Raw genomic sequence first — 27,785 nt, 5'->3', positions numbered from 1 at the left:
ACAAACACCCAAACCACATTAGTATCTTTTGTTTCTTCAGCATTTAATTTTTTTAAAAAATGATTGCTACAGTGAACAAAATTCTTATGAACCATTTTATACAGAGTCTAGATTGATGGTGTCAAGTTAAGTCCAGTAGAAAGCCAGCACAAACTCAAAGTCCCACCTCACTTACCTTAAAAAGGACCTGGGAATTTTCCAACTCGTAAAAATTTTTAAAAGTTCAGTTCTACCTGTCCAACTCTGACTCACAGCAATACGACTACATAAAAATGGGGCCACATGAACTACCAGAAATTATATTTTAAGTTATACAACACCAAGAACATCTGAGGACTTACCCTCCTGAAAGAATGGTTTTTAATCATCCTCCTAAATCAAGAGTCTCCAAACATTTTCTAGAACTAGACTGGCCACATCAGTCATATCAGAAACTATCCATGAACTTCAGTAAACACGTTTCTCACTCACCCTGGAGCTGTTTTTAAATACTCAGCAAATTAGGCAGTAACAATTTTCCTTATTTTTGCTTTAAGGAGCAGGAAAAAAGCTTCCCTTCATAAAAAAGTACCTCCTACAAAAGAGATCAGCTCTGACCACCTAAGAGTCAAAAAATCCTCTTCCAGTGAAAGAAAGTGAACTGCTTCTAATGTGTCTTTCCTTTTCCCTTTTTTCTACTCTTTGTCATATCGGTACTATGGCAGGCTTATTTTAAAATCTTACTTTTATAAATAATTTTTTTTAACTTAAAGATAGGCTGCATGTCTTGTTTATTTTTGTTTTCTGGACTTTTTCTGGTAGAGATGGGGGCTGCTCTTGAACTCCTGGCCTCAAGCAATCCTCTTGCCGTGGCCTCCCAAAGTGTTGGAATTACAGGCTGACTTCTGCTTGCCCACCAGCAAATATAATGAATGTTTTATCAATGTTCTTGACTTGAGTCCAAATTTTAGATTTTGAACATTCCCTGGCCTTCTCTTATAGTTAAGGAGTTTTTTTAAAAAAAAGGGAGGGGACTTTGGGATTGGACACAACTAAGTAAAACATGTACTGCGTGCAAAAGGAAATAAAATCAGTTATGCAGAGTAAAGAGTCAGAACTTGCTCATAAACCTATGTTAAATGTCCAAACTCACAATGGATAAAGAACGCACTACCTGTAAACCTGACTTCCACACTTACAGAGTCCCTGTGCTTTCCCCAACAGGTTACTTATATTTACCCTCAAATATATAAATCCAAATACCTTATTTCATCCATAAAACAGTTAGTTTTACATAGAGTCACACAGAGCTTTATGTTATTTTCAAATTGTATGTGGAAAATTCTATGAAAAATGTTTAACTTCGACTTGGGTTAAGTATATGAGCCATCCAGGGACAAAAAGGACATCACCTGTGGAACCTAGAACTTCATGTAGCACAATAAATTTGAGTTGAGAAATTAAGAAATGTCCTACGTGAACTTAATCTTTGCTTGTCTATAATCCTGATATTTTTTCAGTGTTTCTTCTGTTTTCTCCAACTCCCTTGCTGTAAAGGTAAGAGCATCAATTTAACACACCACATACAAACAGTAAAGAAGAATATTCAATAAATGCTTTCTAATGGTGACAGCAAAAATAGTACTGTGTATCAGGAAATTTCGCCATTCTCATCTTTGGCTATAAATCTACAGAATACTTAGGATTCACAGATAACTGGCACTGGATTTTTTTAAAAGCCACCTAGTTCATCCATATAAAAACAGGACCATTAGGCCACACACAGTGGTTCATACCTGTAATCCCAGCACTTTGGGAGGCTGAGGAGGACAGACTGCTTGAGCCCAGGAGTGTGAGACCAGCCTGGGCAACATGGCAAAACCCCATCTCCACTAAAAATACAAAATTAGCCAGGCTTGATGAAGTGCGCCTGTAGTCCTCCCAGCTACTTGGGAGGCTGAGGTGGGAGGACTGCTTGAGCCCTGGAGGCAGAGGGTGCAGTAAGCCAGGATCATACCCTTGCACTACAGCGTGAGTGACAGAGAAGGACCCTCTCTCAAAACAACAACAAAAAAGCAGGACCAAATTTTCATAGTTAAGTATTGAAAAGAAGGTTTGACTGGGACTTTAACTTCAAAATGAAAATTATTTTTAGAAGAGCTTATAGCATTTTATTTTACAAATTTAGGTCATTATTATAACCATGTGCTAATTCTGAGGAGAATCAACACAAGTTGACTTTGCTTATCCAAACAAAGGTAAATTTTCCACAAAGTTACCTCTTAATTCTTTGGTATCTAAACCACTTTAGATACCAAAGGCCCTTTCATGGACATCATGAAATATTGCAATTTTGCATTATCTACAATTTTGCTTTATGTTCAATTTAAAGTATACTGTCACTAGAGAGCAACCAATAAAGATTTTGACGCAATGGACATGGCTAGACACTACAGCTGTGGGATGTTTGAATGGAAATGACTGTAGAGATGAAAACTTTTGTTTCCCTCTGTAATCTCTACCTGTAAAAACCTGGGATTATGAATACTTGGACAATAAGGACTTCAATAAACTAATGTCTAAAGGATTTAAGAAAATTTAAAAATAAGCATTCATTAATCATGATGGCTTCAAGAAAAACCTATTGAGTAAAAATAGTTAATGTAGCCAGGCATGGTGGTGCATGCCTGTAGTCCTAGTTACTTGGGAGCTGAAGCAAGAGGATCACTTCAACCCAGCTATAACTGCACCACTATACTCCAACATGGGTAACAGAGCAAAACCCTGTCTCGAAAAAAAGAAAAAAAAAGGGTATTTTTACATGGCTAATGTGAGTGGAGTTACCATATATAACACAAATAACAATTTTTTAAAAAATTAAGACAATAAAATATATCCAAAAAAACACACAGCCAGGCACAGTGGCTCACACCTGTAATCTCGGCACTTTGGGAGGAAATGGAGGGAGGAATGTTTGATGTTTGATGCCAGGAGTACACAACCAGTCTGGGCAACAAAGTGAGACCTCATCTCTACAGGGAAAAAAAAAAAAAGAAATCAGCCAGGCCTGGTGGCATGTGCCTGTAGTCCCAGCTACTCAAGAGGCAAAAGCATGAGGATGGCTTGAGCCCAGGAGTTCAAGATTGCAGTGAGCTATGATCATGATCATGCCACTGCACTCCAGTGAGAGAAAGAGAGAGAGAGAGCGAGAGAGAGAGAGAGACAGAGAGAAAGAAAGAAAAAAGAAAGAAACAAAGAAACAAAGAAAGAGGAAGGAAGGAAGGAAGGAAGGAAGGAAGGAAGGAAGGAAGGAAGGAAGGAAGGAAGGAAGGGAGGGAAAGAGAGAAAGAAAGAAAGAAAGAAAAAGAAAGAAAGAAAGAAAGAAAGAAAGAGAGAAAGAAAGAAAGAAAGAAAGAAAGAAAGAAAGAAGGAAAAATATTTGTTACATCATTTTCCTTGAGTTTTCAGAAGGTATTTCTCAATCTGTCGGCATCTCAGACTTATCATATTAGTCAGTTTTCATTATACAAAAAAATCACTGGAAAGCTGGAAAAGACCTTAGGGATAATCTAATACTACCTCTTCATTTTACAAAGGAAGAAACTTAGGACCAAAAAGGTAAAGTGACTTGTCCAATATTAACAGTTTATGGCAGGGTGAGGGATCTCAATACATAATTCTTTCTCTTATAACAACGTGAAGAACATTTACCATACTCCAAAAAATTCTCTTAAACAAATTCTTCATTTTATCTTTTTTACTGATTGTCCTCCTCAAACAGAATACACGTCAAACAGAACACATCATACCTTTTTTGTTTTTATCTACTCAAAGTAGTTTGCTAGGAATGTCTTTCTACAAATAGTTGTGGGGAAAGACAGAAAATACTGACCCCATGCTTGCCTTTCTGAAAACATTTTAATATTGGTAGATAAGGAAATAACCTTATTTTCATCTACATGGTTTACTGTTTCTTGCAGAAGAATATTTAGCTATATATCAGGATACTTAATTTTCTTTAAAAAGAAACTGAGGAAATGTTTCACATACGATGTGAATACCTATACTTTGTAGAATACAATGTATAGACTCTGAAAGAAGCTAAGATCTTTAAAACATTTCATTAACCTTACAAATGACACAATTACGAAGCAGTAATTCCTCAAAGTACTTACCTAAAAAAATCTAGTTAACATGGTGCCAAATATGCTTTATCTAGCTTGTTAATTGCCATATCTCATTTTGTTGTTGTTGCTGCTGTTATTGTTTGAGATGAGGTCTCACTCTGTCACCCATGCTGAAGTGCAGTGGTGCGATCTCGGCTCACTGCAACCCTCTGCCTCCTAACTCAAGCAATCCTCCCACCTCAGCCTCCCAAGTAGCTGGGACCACAGACGCATGCCACCACACTCGCTCATTTTTGTATTTTTGGTAGAGATGGGGTTTCGCTGTGTTGGCCAGGCTGGTCTTAAACTCCTAAGCTCAAGCAATCCACCCTCCTCAGCTTCCCAAAGTGCTGGGATTACAGGCACGAGCCACCACACCCAGCCAATCATTTTCAAAAGGAAAGTAATTTTAAATGAATAGCTATCTCGAACTCCTGACCTCAAGTAATCTACCTGCCTCGACCTCCCAAAGTGCTGGGATTACAGGCGTGAGCCTCCATGCCCTGGCCAACATGGTGAAACCCCATCTCTATTAAAAATACAAAAATTAGCTGGGTGTGGTGGCAGGCGCCTGTAATCCCAGCTACTCGGGAGGCTGAGGGAGGAGAATCAATTGAACCCAGGAGGCAGAGGTTACAGTGAACCAAGATAGCACCACTGGACTCCAGCCTGGGTGACAAGAGCGAAACTCCATCTCAAAAAAAAAATTAATAGCAATCTTAAATCCAGTACTGGCAAAGTCATAATTTCTGGTAAAAATAAGTATAGTCCGTGAGAATAAAAACCTTATCTAATCTCAACATGGAATTTTAAATATCTATTACATCACTGGTTCCTTTTAATTTTTGTGGTGATAATATACTGAAATAAAAATCATAAAAGAGTGTTCAGTTCAATTTATTATTAAGCACATAGTACATGAATGGTACTATGACAGACATTGCAAACCACAGAAAAATTAGACATCCCTTGTCATAAATGACCTTACAGTCTAATAAAAGTAATAGCAATATATCCAATAAAATACAGTAAGTTTGGAAAAAAGGTCTACCAAATAAGAGTATAATAAGAATCCACTGAAGGGCAGCGGACTTTTCACCTGGAAAATAAAAAGCTTAGGGTGACTATTTAGCTTCCGTAAAATACTCAGACTGAGGGTGGTAGCTCACACCTGTAATCTCAGCACTTTGGGAGGCTAAGGCAGGAGAATGGGTTGAGGTCAGGAGTTCGAGACCAGCCTGGGCAGCATAGTGAGACCCTGTCTCTACAAAAAAATCTAAAAATTAGCCAGGCATGGTGGCATGCACCTGTAATCCTAGCTACTCAGGAGGCTGAAGTAAGAGGACTGCTTGAGCCCAGGAAGCCAAGGCTTAAAGTGAGCCATGACTGCACCACTGCACTCCAGCCTGGGTGACAGACCAAGGCCCTGTCTACAAATAAAAACAAAAACAAAAATTAAAATACATTTTTAAAAAATTATTAAAATACTCAAAAACTGTTATATAGAGGAGGATACAGGTTCATTCTGTTTTGCTACAACAGCAGAAATGAGATCTATGGGAGACAGTTGAAGGAAGGCTAAGTCAGCATTTCCTCAAGTTTATTCCACAGACCACTGATCCCTTAAGCTACCTCTCACAAAAAATACCACAATCATATAAATCTAGGAAACACGTGCAGTGTTTATATAGTATATGCAATACTAGAATTCTTCTGGGAGATTAAAAAAATGTACATGAGTATTAAAGAGGTATGCTAAGGAAATCAATTTAACTTTGTTTAATCAAGGGTTCTCCAAATATTCCACCATGGGTTTTGTTGCTTTATCTATTTTTGTTTATTTAAAGAATACCTAAGAACACCCAGAAATACTAGGAAGTATCAACTAATGTTTTTCTAATAATGACACCCTGATCATATGTCTTCAAAGGAAAGACTATCCTTAAAAATAGTAGTAGAGAGATATTTATATCATAATATTTGGCTGGTATCTCTCCCTCAGGCACAAAGTTTTGAACATAAAATGCTTTCAATGAATGGAAGAAAAAACAGTCCTCTAAAACAGCATATAGTATAGCTAATACTCTAAAGATCAGAATGAATTTCTAAATTTTCTTGAAAACATAGAGAACTGAATGTAAACTCACAATTTAAGAAATGAATGGGCCGGGTGCGGTGGCTCATGCCTATAATCCCAGCACTTTGGGGGCCGAGGCAGGCAGATCACTTGAGGTCAGGAGTTCGAGACCAGACGGATGAACATGGTGAAACCCCATCTCTACTAAAAATACAAAAATGAGCTTGGCATAGGGTCGGTCGCGGTGGCTCACACCTGTAATCCCAGCACTTTAGGAAGCTGAGGCAGGTGGATCACAAGGTCAGGAGACAGAGACCATCCTGGCTAACACAATGAAACCCCGTCTCTACTAAAAATACAAAAAAATTAGCCGGGCGTGGTGGAACACACCTGTTGTCCCAGCTACTCAGGAGGCTGAGGCAGGAGAATGGCGTGAACCTGGGAGGCGGAGCTTGCAGTGAGTTGAGATCGCGCCACTGCACTCCAGCCTGGGCGACAGAGCTAGACTCCGCCTCAAAAAAATAAAAAATAAAAAAATTAGCCAGGCATGGTGGTGCACACCTGCATTTCCAGCTACTCGGGAAGCTGAGACAGGAGAATCACTTGAACTCGCTTGAACTGTGGAGGTTGCAGTGAGCCAAGATGGTGCCATTGAACTCCAGCCTGGGCTACAAGAGCAAAACTCCATCTCAAAAAAAAAAAAAGAAAGAAAGAAATGAACAAATGTTAAGACCTACGTTTAGGTTCTTTAGCTCAATTTTTAATTATCAATATTCTCAGGAGAGAAGAGAATAATTATACAGCTAAAATTAATTATATGAAAAAAGCAAAAGTTTATCATAACTTAAAGTGAGAGTCACTCTTTATAGAAATTACATCACTGAGGAAAAAAAAACAAAAACCAATTTTCTTCAGTTAAGGTCAACAGCCCATCTATCCCTCAAAATGAAGGCAGACTGATGCACTACCATGTAAGAAGCCCGAGCCAACAAACCTTTACAAAATGGAATCTCAAGAAAAGGTTCTATTTGATTTTAAGTTTGCTTATGAAGCCAACCAAATACTGAGGAGAGAGGAAGAAGGTGAAAGCAAAGGAAATAAATAAGAACACTAGCTTCCTTCTTCAGTCTGCATAGGTACCCAAGGACCATTAGATTCAGTTGATCTTCATTATTCACGGATTCAATATATGCAACTTTGCCTATTTAATAAAATTTATTTGTACAGTAGCTGGGTCTTCCAGTCATTTGCAGACACACACGGGATAACAAAAAATCTGAGTCACCAAACATGCACATTCCCAGCAGACAACGAATAGGCTTTCTTGCTTCAGCTCTTATAATGTAAACAAGAGTCCTTTCAGTAGCCTATTTTGTGCCACGTTTTTGCATTGTTGTGTTTTTGTTGATGATTTCACTATTTCATGGCCCCCAAGTCATTGTAAGTGCTGCCTAGTGTTCTCAAGCACAAGAAACCTACAATGTGCATCATGGAGAAAATAGCTGTGTTAGATAAACTTAGTTCAGGAATGAGTTATTGTTTTGTTGATTGTGAGCTCAATGTTAATGAATCAACAATATATATGTCTTTAAACAGAAACACACATAAAACATGTATTGATCAGTTAACAAAAATGCTGTGACCAGATGCTCACAGGTACCTAACCCTGTATTTCCCCTAGGAGCAGTGGTTCAGTATTCACTAATTCGGTGTCCATGACAACTTTATAGACCATACTACCTTGACTGAGAAGCCACTGAAGTTACCCATTACCCTATGTTACATTACCTCCAGATTTCCTCAACCCATAGAAAAGTGGGCATCTGCAGAAAAAGTTTTCAGAAATGAATAAATGTTGGTTAGATTTCTCATATAAAAGCCCTTAGGAAATTATCATGTTCCTCTTGTAGAAGAATGAATTTTTCTAAGTTTGCTGTTAACCTAGTAGTGGCATACTATGAAAGATGTACAGTAGTTTTAAATGGTAAACTCTCAGCTTACCAGTAAATTCAATTCACTGATTTTAGAAGTGATCCTCTTTTCTCAGATACAGAATTCATATCATCTGTTGGTTTTGCAGGTGCGAGTATGTAAAGGATTCATCTGAATCAATCATTACCTGCAAACTGCTACAGTAGTACAGCATGAGAAGCGCCATAGACTGTCTGCTTTATTTATCTGTTTAAACGTGAAACCTTATAGAGACAGAGAATGAAAACTAAGTCTCCGTTTCGATTGACAGTTCGTCAGTCAAAAGGAAAGCTTTTAGAAACTTCTCTCAAGTCACTTAGTTTTCTTTTTGAATTGGGATATATCTATGTGGGAATCTAGAAATGACATGCTTGACCGATAACTGTCTTTTGCTAGTTCAGTACTCTGTATTGTGTCAAAAAATACAGAAGGAGTCAATTAATTATAGTCAATCAACATAGGTAGATGTCACTACACAGAAAATCTCAGGTTTATGAATATGAAGATATATGTGTTAGGTGGATAATATTTGTTTTAATAGACTTTATATAGTAAATAATGTAAACATTGTGATTGAGTATGATTTTAAGGGCACTCGCCTAGGGAGGAAACACGGAGGCTTTTTATTTTTTGTAAAGCGTATTTGGTTATTCCTTTGTGTTCTCAATTTTCTGGACAGTAAGATGTGCAAGAAGTGTTTGTTTTCTCATGGGGCATGTGGAACAGGTAACTATACCCCCAACAACTCCCACCCCATCTCTTCATCTTGCACACACAACACAATCACCATCATGTCTTTGCCTATTGAGACAACTCCTAATTTTAGTCTTTTAGAGCTACTAAGCATAGGTCACCACTTGTGCTCCAATCATTGACTTCTGAACATGGACAATGAAAACTATATTTAGAAAAACTAGGGACATAGATACGCTTCTCAACTTCAAAATACCTATAATCTCAAATTCAAATTCAAGGCTTATTGGTTTCTCTCTTTCTAGAAAGTTTCATGCTCTCCTTCAATCCGGACAGTTATGTAAGGGTTGTTGTAACACCTTCCATATCTGGACTCACTCTTTTACTCCTATGGCTTTCCAAAGACAGTGGCAATCCTTCTCCTGTGGCTTTCTCCTTGAACTCTTACAAAAAAGACAACCTCTAGAATAAACAATGGAAGCAGGCAGAACTAGGAACCAGTCACTCGAAAATATGTCCTATTGATGTGATGATATATAGCATCAATTAAGAAATTTTACTGACAAAAAAATTAATGTTTCAGGAAAAATGGGAGAGAGTGGAACACATGAATGACCCTTCAAGGAAAGTCAGACAAATCCAGAATGTGAGACATCCCTAGACAGGTGCTCTGCTTTCTGAAACATCAGGTATAAGGAAAACTATTTTAAATGAAAAGAAACTAAAACATGCAACAATCAAATCCAACGAATATTTTTTAAATCTATGAAAGACATTTTGGGGACAATCTGGGGAATGTAAATAGAAATCATGTCAGCGAATTGCTGTTAATTTTCTTTGTTAAAATAATGTGGTGTAAGTAGAAGAACGTCCTTTTTGGTGGAAATACTTACTGAAATATTGGAGGCTGGTATTCAAATCTGTGAAACCTACAAAAAATAATACAATTTGTGGAATTCCTGGACAATGAAATATAAACAGGCATTAGAAATCCCAGCACTGTAGGAGGCTGAGGTGGGCGGATTACTTGAGGTCAGGAATTCAAGACCAGCCTGGCCAACATGGCAAAACCCTATCTACTGAAAATACAAAAATTAGCCAGGCATGGTGGCACATGCCTGTAATCCCAGCTACTCAGCAGGCTGAGATAGGAGAATCACTTGAACCTGGGAGGTACAGGTTGCAGTGAGCCGAGATCGCGCCACTGCACTCCAGCCTGGGTGATGACAGAGCAAGACTCCGTCTCAAAAAAAAAAAAAAAAAAATTTTTTTTAAATTTTTAAAAATTTAAAAATAAAAGCACTAGAATAATTACAGAAAAGGCAAAATTTATTTCTAGGAAAAAAATGGCTGTAGAGTCATAATAAACAGGACAACTGCAAAATAAAGCACTAAGAAAGAATTTCAGCAGTGAAAAACTAAAATGAAGAAATAGGAGCCAAGCCCTGGTAATGGTAAATTTGACACAAATCATACCTCAGTGGCAAAAATAATCAGGCTTGGTGTGCAGTACTAGAAATCATTAATAAGGAGGCACAGATAATAAAAACAAAGTTAGACTGGAAAAACATCATCCTTTATGTTTTTGAAGAACCAGTTTTTATGTTCACTGATTTCTTATTTTTAATTTCATTGATTTCTGCTTTAATTTTTATCATGTTTTCTTTTGCTTATACTGGATTTAATTTGTACTTCATTAGCTTCCTAAGGTGGAAGCTCAGATGATTAATTTTCAATCTTTTGTCTAGTTTCTACATTCAATGCTACAAACTTCCTTCCAAGCACTGCTTTTGTTGCATCACAAATTTTGATAAACTTTTCATTTTCATTTAGTTTAAAACACTTTCTTTTGAGATTTCTTCATTGACCCATGTGTTATTTAGAAAAGTAATATCATCCCTTATTTTATATGTTTAAAAAAAAAAAAAACAGACTTCTGGCCAGGTGCAGTGGCTCATGCCTGTAATCCCACCACTTTGGGAAGCCAAGGCGAGAGGATCGCTTCAGCCCAGGAGACGGAGGCTGTAACGAACTATGATGGTGCCACTGCACTCCATCCCTGGTGATAGAGAGAGATCCTGTCTTTAAAATTTAAACAAAACAGATTTCAAGAGATGAAGTAGATTACAAAAGGTCAAAAAGAAAGTTGCTCACAGATTTTAAGTATAGGAAATGTGTTCTGTCTTTCAAATATTACTGCACAAGTGAATGAATACTCCTAGTTATGAACAAGAGAAAAATGAGAAAGTTTAGCATTTGATTAAGAAATGAAATTTAGGCCAGGCACAGTGGCTCATGCCTGCAATCCCAACACTTTGGGAGGCTGAGGTGGGTGGATCACTTGAGCTCAGGAGTTTAATATTTCTTTTTTTATTAATTATGAATTAAACTCTTCTTTTTGATTGAGACAGAGTCTCACTCTGTCACCCAGGCTGGAGTGCAGTGGCTCCATCTTGTCTCAGTGCAACCACTGCCTCCCAGACTTAAGGGATTCTCCAGCCTCAGCCTCCTGAGGCGCTGGGACTACAGGCATGCACCACCACGCCCAGCTAATTTTTGTATTTTTAGTAAAGACGGGGTCTCACCACATTGGCCAGGCTGGTCTGGAACTCCTGACCTCAAGTGATCCCCTCGTGTTGCCCTCCCAAAGTGCTGGGATTACAGGCATGAACCACTGCACCCGGCCAAATTCAACTTAATAGTTAAAAGACTATACAAGATCATCTGTTTCATCTTAGGTGAGTTTTGGTAGTTACTGTCCCAAGGAATTAGTCTATTTCACCTAAGTTGTCAAATTTATGTGCATAGAGTTTTTTAGTATCACTTATCCTTAAAATTCCTGTGGAGTTTGTAATGATATCCCGTTTGGTTGCTGATACTAGTTTTTTATGTCTTCCCTTTTTCTGCTGTATTGCTAAAGATGATCAATTTTACTGATCTATAAAAAAGGAAACTCAACTTTTAATGTCACTGATTTTAGCTACTGTTTTACTGCTTTTAATTCATTGATTCTCCTGTTACTGGGGTTTATTTGTTCTTTGACTAGTTTCTCCCCGCTCCCCCCTCCCTTTTTTTTTTTTGAGATGGAGTCTCACTCTGTCACCCAGGCTGGAGTGCAGTGGCGCGATCTCAGCTCACTGCAAGCTCCGCTTCCCGGGTTCACGCCATTCTCCTGCCTCAGCCTCCCGATTAGCTGGGACTACAGGCGCCCGCCACCACGCCCAGCTAATTTTTTGTATATTTAGTAGAGATGGGGTTTCACCACGTTAACCAGGATGGTCTCGATCTCCTGACCTCATGATCCGCCCGTCTCGGCCTCCCAAAGTGCTAGGATTACAGGCATGAGCCACCGCGCCCAGCCATGTCTAATTTCTAAGTACTTGGAGATTTCTGTGTTATCTTTCTGTTACTGATTTCTAATATATTTCCATTATGATCTGAGAATATATTTTTTGTAAGTTCAATTCTTTTAAATTTGTTAAGGTTTGTATTAAGACCGAGATACAGTCTGTCTTAGAGCATTGTTCCCTTGGAAAGAATGTATATTCTGCTGCTGTTGGGTAAAGTATTCCATAAAGGTCAATTAGATCTATCTAGTTGATAATGTTGTTCGGACATTCTGTACCCCCGGTGATTCTGTCTACTAGTTCTATCTATTCCTAAGAAAAGAATTTTGAAGTCTTCAATTATAAATGCTGAGTTCCTTCTGTACTTGGAAAGAATGTATATTCTGCTATTATTGGGTAAAGCATACTACAAATGTCAATTAGATTTATCTGGTTGATAGTCTCCTTCAAGCATTTTTTTTTTTTTTTTTTTTGAGACAGAGTTTCACCCCTGTCACCAAGGCTGGAGTGCAGTGGCACAATCTTGGCTCACTGCAGTCTCCACCTCCTGGGTTCAAGCAATTCTCGTGCCTCAGCTTCCCTAGTAGCTGGGACTACAACCACGTGCTACCACACCCAACTAATTTTTGTATTTTTAGTAAAGAGGGGGTTTCACCATGTTGTCCAGGCTGGTCTAGAACTCCTGACCTCAAGTGATCCACCTGCCTAGGCCTCCCAAAGTGCTGGGATTACAGGCATGAGCTACAACGCCCAGACCACCTTCAAGCATTCTATACCATTAGTAATTTCTGTCTACTAGTTCTATTCGTAAGAGAAGAATGTGGAAATTTTCTATTATAATTATTGAATTCCCTATTTCTCCTTTAAGTTCTATCAGATTTTGCTTCATCTATTTTTAAATTCTGTTGTTAGCTACTTACACATTTAGGATTGGCAAATCAATTCTTTTATCAATATGTAATGTTCCTCTTTATTTGGGTATTAGCTTAGCTCTGAAGTTTGCTTTGTTATTAATATAGCCACTAGGGTTTTCTTTCCAATAGTGTTTGCATGCTATATCTTTTTCCATCTTTTCACTTTTAACCCACCTATACCATATTTAAAGTAAGTTTCCAATAGACAGCATAAAGTGGGTTTTTTCTATGGACTCTTGACAAACTTTTAATTGATTTGTTTACAGCATTTAAAAATTCAACGTAATTACTGATGTGTAAGAACTTAAATCTACCATTTTATTATTTGTTTTCTCATTAATCCCTGTTTCCCCTTTCCTGTCTTTTGGGTTATTTGAATATTTTTTAACTTTTATTTTAGAATCTGGGGGTATATGTGCAGGTTTGTTACATAGGTATACTGGATGGTGCTGAGGTCTGGAGGACAAATGAATCCCTCCTGCAGGTGGTGAGCACAATATCTAATAAGTAGTTATTTTTCAACCCTTACTCCTTTCCCTTCCTCCCCCTCTTGTATTCCCCAGTGTCTACTGTTCTCATTTATGACCATGTGTACCCAATATTTAGCTCTCACTTGTAAGTGAGAACAAGTGGTGTACAGTTTTCTTTTTCTGCATCAGTTCCCACAGGATGATTCTCAACTGCATCCATGTTGCTGCAAAGGACATGATTTTGTTCTTTTTATGGCTGCATAGTATTCCATTGCGTATGTGTACCACATTTTCTCTACCCAATCCACCACTGATAGGCACATGTGTTGATTCCATGTCTTTGCTCTTGTGAAGAGTGTTAGAATGGACATACGGGTATATGTGTCTTTTTGGCAGAACAATTTATTTTCCTTTGAGTATATACCCAGCAGTGAGATTGCTGGGTCAAATGGTAGTTCAACTCCCAGGTCTTTGAGAAATCTCCAAACTGCTTCCCACAATGGCTGAAATAATTTACACACTCCCACCAATAGTGTTATGTGTTCCCTTTTTTCCATAGCATTGCCAGCATCTGTTATTTTGTGACTTTTTAACAAAGCCATTCTGACTGGTATGAAATGGTATCTCATTGTGGTTTTGATAGGAATTTCTCTGACGATTAGTGATTATGAGCATTTTTTAATATGTTTGTTGGCTACTTGTATGTCTTCTTTTGAGAAGTGTCTGTTCATGTCCTTTGTCCCTTTATAATGGGGTTATCTGCTAGTTGATTTAAGTTCCTTAAGATTTTGGACATTAGACCTTGTTGGATGCATAGTTTGTGAATATTTTCTCCCATTCTGTAGGTTGTCTGTTTACTCCCTTGATAGTTTCTCTTGCTGTCCAGAAGCTCTCTAATTAGGTCTCATTGGTCAATTTTTCTTTTAGTTGCCAACTGCTTTTGAGGACTTAGCCACAAATTCCTTGCCAAGGCTAATGTTGAGAAGAGTATTTCCAGGTTTTCGTACAGGATTTGTAAAGTCTGAGGTCTTAAAGTCCCTAATCCATCTTCAGTTAATTTTTGTATACACTGATAGGTAGGGGTCTAGTTTCATTCTTCTACATATGGATAGCCAGTTATTAAAAGCAACATTTATTGAATAGGAAGTCTTTTCCCCACTGCTTAGTTTTACTGACTTTGTCAACAATCAGATGGTTGTAGGTGTGTGGCTTTACTTTTGGGTTCTCTATTCTGTTGCATCATCTTTTTTTGTGCCAAGACCATGCTGATACCAAAAGCTGGCAGACACACAACAAAAAGAGAAAACTTCAGGCCAGTATCACTGATGAATACAGACACAAAAATCCTCAACAAAATACTACCAAACTGAATCCCCCAACACATCAAAAGGTATTTCACCATGATCAAGTAGGCTTTATTCCTGGGATGCAAGGCTGGTTCAACATACACAAATCAATAAATGTGATTCACCACATAAACAGAATTAAAAACAAAAACCAAATGATCATCTCAATAGATGCAGAAAAAGCTTTCAATAAAATCCAATATTTCTTCATGATAAAAACCCTCAACAAACTAGGCCTTGAAGGAACATAACTCAAAATAATAAGAGTAATCCATGATAAACCCACAGCTAATATCATACTGAATGGGCAAAAGCTGGAAGCATTCCCCTTGAGAACTGGAACAAGGATGCCTCTCTTAGCACTTCTATTCAATGTAGTACTGGAAGTCCTAGCCAGAGCAATCAGGCAACAGCAAGAAATAAAAGCCATCCAAATAGGAAAAGAAGATGAGCTCTCTCTCTTCATGGACTACATGATTCTATACCTAAAAAACCCTAAAGACTATACCATAAGGCTCCTAGAGCTGATAGGCAACTACAATAAAGTTTCAGGGTACAAAATCAATGTACAAAAGTCAGCAGTGACATTTAACCTAAGAGCCAAAACAAGAACACACTCCAATTTACAATAGCCACAAAAATAAAATATCTAGGAATATAGCTAATCAAGGACGTAAAAGATCACTACAAGGAGAATTACAAAACACTGCTGAAAGAAAATCGGAGATGACACAAATAAATGGAAAAACATCCTATGCTCACTGATTACAAGAATCAACATCATTAAAATGACCACACTACCTAAGTACCCAAAGCAATTTACAGATTCAACACTATTCCTATCAAACTACCAATGTCATTTCTCACAGAACTAGAAAAAAACTATTCTAAAATTCAAATTGAACCCAAAAAGAGCCGAAATAGCCAAAGCAATCCTAAGCAAAAAAAAAAAAAAAAAAAAAAAAAAAAGCTGCAGGTATCACATTACCTGACTTCAAACTGTACAAGGCTACAGTAACCAAAACAGCATGATATTTGAATATTTTTTAATTTATCCATTGTAATTCTAACCTACCTACTTATTTTGTAAGTAGTGGCTCTAGGGATTATAACATACATATTTAACTTTTCAGGGTCTATTTGGAATCAATATTTTACTCTTCAAGTGGATCATAGATGTTATATTTGATGCCACAGCCACTGAAAATCACATCAGATAATGTTATAACTTTTCCTCTCAATTATCCAACGTATTTTAAAGAATTCATGAGGAGAAAAACCATCTACAATATTTACCCAAATATTTACCATTTCTGTTTATCTTCTTTCATTCCTAATGTCAAGTTTTCTTCTGATATAAATTTCCCTTTTGTCTTAAGAACATCTTTTAGCAATTCTTTTAGATCACGTCTGCTGACAACAGATATTCTTAGTTTTTCCTTTACCGGAAAATGCCCTTATGTCACCTTCATTCCTAAAAAATACTTTTGCTAGTTATAAACAGTTCTTTTCTTTCAGTACTGAACAAATTGTTTTTTCTTCTTTATTCTTACTCCCATGGTTTCTGATGTAAAATCTGAAGTCATTAGAATCATTGCTCCCCCCAAGGAGCAATGTCATTTTCCTCTGGCTGCTTTCAATAGTTTTTTTCTTGTTTTTAGTTTTCAGATTAATTATGACATATCTGGGCATAAATTTATTTGGATTTATTCCATTTCTGATTCTCTGAATCTGTATGTTTGTGTCTTTCAATAAATTTGTGAGGTCTTTAGCCATTTAATTCTTCAAATATTTTCTCAAAACTACATTCTTTCTATATGTTGACTACCTCTTCCATTGTGAGTTGAAATCTTCCTGGTTCTTCATATGTTAGATTTTGGATTACAACCTGGATGTCTAAAAATATTGTTATGAAATTTTGGTTCTTGTTTAAATGTCTAACACTTTGTTATTTTCCCATAATATCCTAAGGCTCTGTTCAATTTTTTAAAATTCTTTCTTCTCTAATGTTCAGATTTAAAAATTTCTATTGATTTATCTTCAAGTTCACTGATTTTTTTCCTGCCATTACATTCTGCTATTGACCCATCCAGTGGTCTTTTTCCCCTAACTTATTGTATTTTTCAGTTCTAACATTTCCATTTCTTTGTATCTTCTATTTCTCTGCTGAGACTTTTTCATACATTTCAAGAGTGTTCACAATTGTCTGTTGAAACATTTTATAATAGCTACCATAAAATCTCTGTCAGATAATTCCAACGTTATTATCATGATGGTATATGTTGATCACCTCTTCTCATGTGAGTTGAAATCTTCCTTGTTCTTCATATGTTAGCTAATTTTGGATTATAACCTGGGAATTTTAACATATTGCTATGAAACTCTGGTTCCTGTTTAAATCCTGTGGACACTGGTAATATATTTGTTTTAACAAGTGATTCATTTGGTTAGGATTAGGCCATGAGCTCTAACATGGCTTCTATAGCCATGGTTCCAGCATCAGTTCAACTTTCAAAGGCTTATGCTGTGCCATCTGAATTTGTCCCACTTTTGTATCATCGAATGGTTAGCCTGGGTGACAGCCTTTATTTCCAAGTATGTATAGTTCAGGGAATTCATAAAGAACTTTATGGTATTGCTTTTCCAAGCTTCTCTTTACACGTGGTCTCAGTACTTTCCAATTCTCTGAGGCATCCCTTTTAATTCCTTCATCCAGAATGCTGCATCTTTGGTACTCTTCTTGGGTCACACTTCTGATACTGTATCTGACTTGGAAACAAGAAATGGAAGAACAAAGAGATGAAGAAGGAAAAAGAAAAAGCAATGGGATTTGTCAACTGGAGAGGAAAGTTCTCATCCCTCAGTTTTGACCATGGGCTCCTGCTGTAGTCTCTGCTGCCATTACCACACGGTTGCTTGGGAATAGGGCATGAGAGATGGAGAAGACAAAAAAAATGACAAAATTTTCATTCTGAACTTAGCAGTTATCTTTCCTGTTCCTTGAGCCAGAAGTAGCAGGCGTCTTTTAGAGCTTTCTGTTTCAGATTGCCCCACTTTTAGGTTTTAGATTGTGTTAAGTTGTCTGGGGATGCTGGAAGAAAAAAAAAATGGTAAACTCACAGCCAGTGAGATGGTATTCTGAATGCTAGTCTTCATTCATATCCCACCTGGTATTATTTATTCTGCAGAGTCCAGAAGAGTTCCATCCATTTTGCCTAGGTTTTATAGATGCATTCAGTGAGAAAGACGGGGTGCATGTGGTTAATCCATCATACTTGGAAAAGGGAACTAACCTCTAACTTCTTCTCAGTTGCTCAATTCTCACTGACACATGAACTCCTCAAATATCCTTATAAAAAGATAATCGGTAATTTAAAATAAGACAATAGTCCTAAGCATTCTTCTATTCACCAAAATTGCACTAATTCACATGGTAACTAACTCATGAAAAGATAGCCGTAACACTATTAATAAAATCCAATCATGTTTTGGCTAAACAGCTTTTATGACTACAGATGATCACTGCAAGGTCCTCAAAATTTTGTAGTGCACTATCAGAAAAGAAGAACTCTACTTCCTCACTCTTTAGCCTTTATAAAATTCACAATGGCATAATGTATAGCACATCACTAGGTATTTGTGTCTGTGATCCATTTACAGGTGATTAGGTAAGAATCACCATTCAACAAAATGTTATGTGACTTTCAATAGTAGACTCAAATTAAAATTATTCAGGACATGTTTTATTTCAGAAGAATGACCCTTAATCTCTTTCAAACCCTGGCTGCTACGTGAGAAACAAAAGCTGTAAAATTTAGTTTTAACAACAACAACAAAAAATTAAAAGCAGAAAGAATGTGGCAATAAAACTTAATTAAAGGAGACTGGATTTAGAAGCAAGGCTTAAATTTTTATTTATTTATTTACTGTGAGACAGGGTCTCACTCTGTCACCCAGGCTAGACTACAGTGTAATGATCACAGCTTACTGCAGCCTCAACCTCCTGGGCTCACATCATCCTCCCACCTCAGCCTCCTGAGTAAGTGGGACCAGAAGCATACATCACCATGCCCAACTAGGTTTTTTTTTTTTCTTTTTGGCTTTTTTTTAGTAGAGACACGATCTCACTGTATTGCCAAGATTGATCTGGAACTGCTGGTCTCAAGTGATCCTCCCACCTCAGCCTCCTAAAGTACTAGGGTACAGGCATGAGCTACTGTGCCTGGCATAGGAGATCAATTTTTAAGGAAATCTAAAGAATCATATGACAATAGTGTTTATCTCCATAATAAACTTAAAAGTTGTTTTAACCAACTTACTTTTTCTATACCCTGATGGTTAAAAGACAGTTAACCCTTGTACAATGTATTAATCAATGATGATAATTATTTCCCTAAATAAAAAAAAGGGCACTATAATTGAGATTTAACTTTGTAGTTCTGACAGAAGAGTATTTGGAAGGAATTAAGGTACACAAAAAATGAGTAACTCATCTGAATTTAGTTTAAAAATGTTAAATGTTTTGCCATGAAAACTTATTAACCCTAAATGTCTTTTAAATCTTTAGACCATCTTCATTCAAGCAGTAGGTATAGCTCTAAATTCACAGACTAAAAAGGACATTTTCCATAGTGCATATTGATAAGATCATATTTCCTCCAAACTTTATATAAATAGGTCCAAACTTTACTGTCAAACAATTAGATTTTCTGAACTGAGTAAATTAAAACCTTATATTGTAGAAATTAGAATTATATGGAAGATAACATAAGGTCACAAGTTCAGCCCTTTCAATGCAAATTCAATATTCCACTTTTTCCTATGTCTCTAACTGGTCAACCATTTTATCTTGTCCAATGTGGGACACTAGTCATTAGATGGAAACGGAAGACTGGTGAGGAAAGAGAAAAGAGGAGGAAAAGTAAAGAAATCAGGAGAGAATTGGATGCATAAATCAGTGCAAATCCTTCACGGTTAGTGAAAATCAACTGAATATGTGAGATGGTGGGTTGGGAATATCATCTTTCATTACATGACACATTTACGTAAGGCGAGCTTGGGAGACTAAAGCAAACCCCTGAGATTTGTTAACAAATCTGAAGACTGGCCAGGCACAGTGGCTCGCGTCTGTAATGTCAGCACTTTGGGAGGCTGAGGTGGGAGGACTGATTAAGCCCAGGAGTTTGACAGCAGCCTGGGCAACATGGTGAGACCCCATCTCTACAAAAAAATTTAAGGATTAGCCAAGTGCAGTGGTGCACATCTGTGGCCCCAGCTACTGTGGAGGCTGAGGTAGGAGCATTGCTTGAGCCTGGAAGGTAGAGGCTCCAGTGAGCCATGATTATGCCACTTCACTCTCCAGCCTAGGTGATAGAGCAAAACCCTGTCTCAAAAAAAAAAAGAAAAAGAAAAAAATTCTGAAGAGTTATAAAGAAATTTTAACGTAGGTGTTCTGGTCAAAGCTGCTAAAGTTTTTAAAGCTCAGCAGTATTTCAGAATCATAACCCAAGAACACATTGGGCTATCAAGCTACAAGTTCTGCAGTAAGTATGCTACAGGCCAACAGATATGTAGAGTAGTGTTAATAACAAATCTGCAATAGAATTTACCCCCCAAACCTGTAGATCCAATATTTTTTTAATTGCTGATTAGAAGGGCAAAGAAAAATAGAAACACCACATCCCTCTAAATGTTCCTGTAAAATATAAGCACCACGAAGAAAAACCACCTTATGATGGAGCTTTCTTTGAAGAAAGCTTTGGCATACATTTATCCTATAACTACAAGTCTATAAGTTTCTAAATCTGTCCTAGAAAAGGGGCCAAAACACTCTGAATTTTGTATCGTCTTGTTAGGGATACAGTTTTGAAGTAACAACATTAAATCTTATTTTGCTCTACTGATGCTGCCTAAAACACATTTTCTTTCACACACACACACACACGCACACGCACACACAGACACACACACACGATAAAGATTAACTGGAAAAGCTTTTCACATTAAGTTGAAAATGGTATAATATTTACCAAAAAAAAAAAAAAAAAAAGACAAGACTATGCCTAAAAATAAATGGTGTCACTGTAATACCGAAACTACCGAAGTTTTTGCCTGCTGAATACATTTTAAGGTATTAATACAATTTTTATCCTAAAACAAGAAAAAGTAAGACATTTCATTTTTAACTACTTTATTTTTTGTCTTTTAATCTTCATTTGTTTACACAGACATATAATCTAATAAACTCTATTGTTTAAGTCCGTCTCTGAAGTTAGAAAAACAGCCAGGTCAAGGAAAACTAGGTTTGGGAGAGCAACCTTGACATTTCAAGGCCAAACACTTTAGGCAGGTCCAACACCTCCTACACAGTATCCTCATCTCCTAATATCACACCCAAATGTAACAGTTTCCTGTTTCCTGAAGAGGGTGCATCAAGTTCACTTTAAAGGTCAGTTAATACTTCTACTAGGGAGACAAAAAGTACTATACTTTACTAAGTCAAGGTCAGCCCACCCTCTAGAAACCAGCAAACTGATTCCTACAGCAATAAGACTAGAATTACAATCTGTGTCCTTGGGTTTTAACACACGCTGTCTCAGTGCCTTTGAGGCAATAATGTCAAGAAAGATTTAGAAAGACAGACACACACACACTGTAAAATATAAACACAATATAAGCAAACAAACTTCTAAAGCAAAGGTTTGCAAACTATAGCCAGGATTTCTAAATCCACCCAGCTGCCTGGTTTTTTTGTTTTGTTTGTTTTGTTTTAAGTCCTGCAAGGAGAGAATGCTGCAGACAGAATCTGTAGGAGAACACAGTTTTTCCTTTAGAGAAGAGTTCAGCAAACTTTTTCTTAAAATGCCAGATACGAAAATATCTTAGGCTTTGCAGGTCAAGAGGAAAAATGAGGATATAATGTAGGGTCTCATAACCATTTAAACTATAACCATTTAAAATGCAAACACCATTCTCTGCTTGCAGGACTTAAAATATTTTTTCTAATGTTAAAATCTAATACATTACAGAAGCAGTATGATCCTAATTTAAATGTTGGTATAAATATGCATAATATGTAATATATGCAGAGAAAAAAGCTAGGAAATCAACATCAAAATGTCAATAAATAGTCATCTCTTGGAAAATGTTATTTTTAAAATCTTTATTTTTTATATACTTTGCAAAGTAAATTGTCATTGCTATAACCAGTAAACAGTTTAAACACGATTATAGTATACTTTTAAAAGAAAATATAGACCAAAAATATCAATTACTTAAATTTAGCTATTGAGTTATATGATACAGCTTCAGTAACACTGTGGTATTCACCATTACCTATACATCACACTGTTAAGAATTAAGATGGTATTTTTACATCTTTTACCATCCATAAATAAGAAAAGGCCCTTTGTTTTGAACATGGGAAGTCAGAGTTGCTGATCTGGACTTTCAAGGTCACTACTCTGGAATTAATTTCAGACACATAATACACTTTAAAGTTCAATTCAAATACTAATTGTCTACTACATTCACATTAGCTTCAATGTTTCTTTCAAAACACAGTGCAAAAACTGTGACCAAAATCCTAAATATGCACACTCTTTGTGCTCTTTATAACTATAGCAACTAACATTTTAAGTCATATTGGACAGTACAATTTCTTGTTGACAGTCACTAAACAGTTCAAACAAAAATACAGTCATGTACCACATAATGACATTTGGGTCAACAACAGACTACATATATGACAGGTCCCATAAGATTACAACAACATTTTTATTGTACTTTTTCTATGTTTAGATACACATTGTTACAAATGTCTGCAGTATTCTGTATACTAAGATGAGTAACATGCTGTACAGGTTTGTAGCCTAGGAGCAACAGGCTATACCACATAGTCTAGTGTATAGTAGGCTATATACCCCCTAGGTTTATGTAAGTACAATCTATGAAGTTCATATGACCAAATCACCTAATAACTAATTGCTTACAACTTATCCCTGTCAAGTGACACATGACTATATTTTTACTGACAGAAAATAAAATGTTACTATCTTTTAAAATGGTATTTCTGCTAAAAGGTACAATTAAACAATTTTGAATCGTATTTTAATGTTCTTGTTTAATAATCACTGCCTATATGTTTTAGCTGTTATTTTTAAGCACATTAACTTTATAAGCATAAGACCACATACTAATACAAGTGATATATGAAATATCACATGACCAGTTTAACTTGGTAAATAGGTTTACACTGAATGATTAGAAAGCATTTTCAAAGTTTCATCTTTACTGTGTTCTGAAGCAAAAATGAGTCTTTCCTATATGGTTTATTTCCTGAGTTTATCTTGAAAATGCACATAACTTTTACTTCTGGATGATGTTAAAATCCAAATTTAATTCTGCCAAACCACGAATTTAAATTAGAATACCACACATCAGTCTACAGATGACAGCTTTTCTTTCCAAGTGCCAGTCACATTTCTGTTCCTTTTATAGTACAATGTTAATTGGTAAACAATTTAATCTCATTAAAATGTAAAAATAACTTTTTAAAGTAAAAATTATTGAACCTGACATGCACCAAAACTGTAAAGCAGTGAAGATTCCATAGTTACCTAACAATGACTAGTCTTAAATGCAAATAAAATAGCAGCAACAAGAAATTTTCTCCTCTCCCTGTTTTCCTCATGACACAGGCAGACACTCAAAGCTTAAACATTTATTCTGAGGACACAAACCACGCTCCTCAGATTCTGTTAGTAACATTTAAAAGTAACTAATTAGGCCAGGCACGGTGGCTCAAGCCTGTAATCCCTGCACTTTGGGAGGCCAAGGCAGGTGGATCACCTGAGGTCAGAAGTTCGAAACCAGCCTGGCCAACATGATGAAACCCTCTCTTTACTAAAAATACAAAAAATTAGCCGGGCGTGGTGGCGGGCACCTGTAATCCCAGCTACTCAGAAGGGGCTGAGGCAGGAGAATCGCTTGAACCCAGGAGGTGGAGGTTGCAGTGAGCCCAGATTGCGCCACTGAACTCCAGGCCTGGGCAACAAGAGCGAAACTCTTGTCTCAGGGTGGAAAAAAAAAAAGCAACTAATTAAGCTCACTAAATATTGCATTACTGCATGTTGCAAGTAGATATCAAAATTCAAGTATTGGCGTTATCCTCAAAAACTTATTTATTAATTAGTAATATTATAGACCAAGATTCTTTTATTATCAAAAACAGCCAAAGATCTTCAATAAATCAATAAACGAGTTCCTTAACAGAAAACACTATAGAAAACTTTGAAGATTTTTTGTTTCATCCCAAACAAGTACATCCTGCTATGTATTACATGTAACTAATTTTGTCAGAATTATACTTAATTCACCTATTTTATAGGTTAACAACACATCTTACAAATCTAACGAGACAATTTTGTCATTCATTTTGGGCTAGGGTTTTCTTTTTTAAAAAATGCAGACAAGTATTTAGTAAATTGTGTTTAAAAGATACTGTGTATATAAGGATATACATAAGGATACATAAAGTAACTTCTGTTGTGAACAGCCTCTTTTTAAAACTTTAATTTTACTCCAAAAGATATGCAGGAATGTAATACATTATAAAACTTCTGGAAGATTTCTATTTCTGGTTTCTGCCATAATAAATAGTAGGGGTTTAAGCTGAGCTGCTTTTTTGACTTAAAAGATTTTTACACAGTCAGCTACTTACAACAGGACATACTGTAATACCAAAATGGAAACTACTTAATCAACATTTCCTCAAGAAAACACAGATCATACATAAAAGCCTATAAGTGTAAAGTTTTATTTCAAAAAGTAGCATTTACATTTTATTTATCAACAGAAGCTCAAATTTTTTCTCTGGTTTTGTCACCATATTCAGTTAATTTTGGTCAACATTGATAACATACACACCAAAAACCAGAAACGTAAGCAGCAATATAAGGTAATTTATTTATAATGTTAAACAAAAGCATACTTTCTGTAACCAACACAGACTGCTGGTTACAGAATAATTATGATCCTGTTCTCATGCTATGTCTTTTTAAAACTGTTTCTTTAAAGGATTTAAGCCATTCAGAAAACCCAACAGTTTGTGAATCACCCAATACAAAAAATTTCTTATTTCAAGTTTCAAATTGTAGTCATCTATAGCATTACAAAAGAACTGACAAAAGATCAAAAACTGCTGGGTGATCTCAAAATATCCCTCTTCCCTTTCTGTCCACTCCTCAAAACACAGTTTAAATTGATAAAAATTAAAACCTCTTAACTGAAATTCCTTCAGCCTCACAGTTGGTCCTGTTGGTTTTACTACGTATAACTTCTATCATCTAAGAAAATTTGCAGGAAATAAATTTTTAGTCACTGAGTTCTTCATTTAAATAGGAAAAACAATTACTCAGAATTAAACACGTTATTGTAATAGGCTTCATGAGCTTTGGTGTCCTAAAAAGAATCATTAAAACTAGATTTCATTAGGTAGGTACTATGGGGTAAATAATGATATACTCTAAGGACCAGCTTTTCTTCACTAAATGCTATCTGTTCTGTAACCTTAATTTACATGGCTCAAATTTATTCATACATTTTTATAAAGACAGGAACTACGGTTATAAGCACACTTATTTTGCTCTTTGGTATGAAAAAGTAGAGTTTGATAATGCCAATTTGCTACCATCTACGTATCTGGATAAATTAACCAGCTAAGTCAAAATAAGCCATGGTATACATATGAAGATTGGTAGGCCCGAGGGAAGTAACTAATTTAGTAGCCAAAATTAGTTTGGCTTCTGACTCACAATTTTAGTAGTCAAAATTAGTTTGGCTTCTGACTCACAATTTAAAATAATCCTTTGCAATATTCTTCATTTAATTGCCTCATTCTTTGTACTTCCTCTTCACAATGTCTAGGCTCACTTCCTAAGAGTTTTCTTGCAGAAATCAGCATTTATTGACCTCTCAAAGAACACACACTTGCTGTTGTCAGCAAAGAACACGGGATTGGAGAAAAAGCATTGTAGAAGCACTGGAAGGAAATAAAAGTGTATCTTCTCATGAAATAATGTTTGTTCAGATCTGGGACCTCAAAGAAATACTGAACATTTTGATATATAAAAAGAAATTATGTGCATTCCAACCCAAGAGTTCATTTCCTCTGACTGATTCAGGGCCTGACTTTTAGTTGCTATAATTGAGTAGAAAGATAATTTCTACCACATTTACTGGTACTTAGATGGTTAAGCAACATTACAGCCTCAGTATTTTTCACGGTGTCTTAGCACAATCTTACAAAGGTTCTTAACAAACAAAAGTACAAGCCTCTTGAGGTCATCTGAGATCTTATGGGACTTTTCATAATGGTAGGGTGTTAATCCCTATGGTCTGGCCTTTCTCCAATTTAAACCATTACCTAAACTGCTTACCTGAACTCCTATTACCTATTCAATTGGCTCACACATCCTTCATTCTCAATCTTGAACCACAGACCTTGCACACATTTTTTAACAGGCAAGGTAAAATGGCTTCTTTGGGTGCTTAACTACTACAGAAAATGTTTCTCACTCCAGAAGAATTAGTAAAACAGCAGTTTAAACTATACTGTGCTATGACCGTTTGAATTTTTTTTACCATTATTTTGTACGGTACACAGAACACTCTAATTGTCTGTGATTTTACATAGTCTTGGAATTTCAAGCTTTTATCTCTGACAAGAGAATTTGTTCATGATCAGCTTACGTGCTAAACACAGCTGTGAAAGTGCAATTAAGGTCTTATTTCACACCATGTTAGGTACCAAACCTGAGCTAGCACAAGGATGAAACAATGCTAACAGGCCCGGTTAACCACTCCCCTTGTCCCAACCATCCACCTTTCTCTCCCTCTCCACCCTTCACACACACACACACACACACACACACACACACACACACACACACCATGCACATGCTTTTCCTAAATTTGTATATAGTTGTATGCACATATATGTATAATGTATAAATGTGTTCACGTGTTTATACACATAATTTCAACCAGAAACATATATGGTTCATAAAGGTGAAAACAGAAGAACAACGTATCTTTCTCTCTTCACAAGAATAGGTTCTACATATCCTAAGAAACACTAAACAAAAAGAGGTCAATAATCCTTGATCCAAAATTCTTCTTCTTCTTTTTTTTTTTTTTTGAGACAGGGTCTCACTCAGTTGCCTAGGCTGAATTGCAGTGGCACAATCATAGTTTACTGCAGCCTTGACCTCCTGGGCTCAAGTGATCCTCTCACCTCAGCCTCCCAAGTAACTGGGATGACAGGCATGTGCCACCCTACCCGGCTGATTTCATTTTTATTTTTGTAGAAACGGAGTCTCATTTTGCTTCCCAGGCTGATCTTGAATCCTGGGCTCAACTGATCCTCCTGCCTTGGCCTCCCAAAGCACTGGGATTACAGGTTTGAGCCACCGTGCCTAGCCCCTTGAACAAAATCCTAAAATCCACAAAGTTCTAAAGACTAAAGTTTTACATAACTTATTTGACGGTAAAACCTGACCTGAACTGAAATGCATATTAGTATTTTTCAATTCAGAATTGCTGATATATTTGATTATAGGGTTCTGCAATAGATCTCTCTAGGAAATGTTACATAATATATAGTATTTACCACTAATACAGTTTTTAAAATTCAGAATATTTTGGATTCCAAGGCAAATCCAATTTCAAGGTTTGAGGCTAAAGAACTGTGCAGTAATATCTTTGTATTTTAAAAAACAGGTTTATATAATTATTTTCCCTCTACAGCTTTCTTGCAAAAAG

The 27,785-nt window shown here is 36.4% G+C and overlaps 1 protein-coding gene across 24 annotated transcripts in view; it reads right to left on the bottom strand.

The window, feature by feature from the left end:
- The window catches only part of TCF12 (transcription factor 12), a 373,221-nt gene that overhangs the window by 280,147 nt on the left and 65,289 nt on the right, over positions 1-27,785 (bottom strand). For 8 of the 24 annotated variants that reach the window (XM_011521960.4, XM_047432971.1, XM_047432972.1 and 5 more), the window contains one exon: positions 9,780-9,815. The exons of the other annotated variants lie outside the window; for them this stretch is intronic. In XM_011521960.4, coding sequence (XP_011520262.1) covers positions 9,780-9,815 — 36 coding nt within the window. The remainder of the gene's footprint in view (positions 1-9,779; positions 9,816-27,785) is intronic. 24 annotated transcript variants of the gene reach the window in all.

Source organism: Homo sapiens, chromosome 15 (assembly GCF_000001405.40).
Source record: "Homo sapiens chromosome 15, GRCh38.p14 Primary Assembly".
NCBI classification, from domain to species: Eukaryota; Metazoa; Chordata; class Mammalia; order Primates; family Hominidae; genus Homo; species Homo sapiens.
This window is presented reverse-complemented; position numbering and strand designations above follow the sequence as displayed.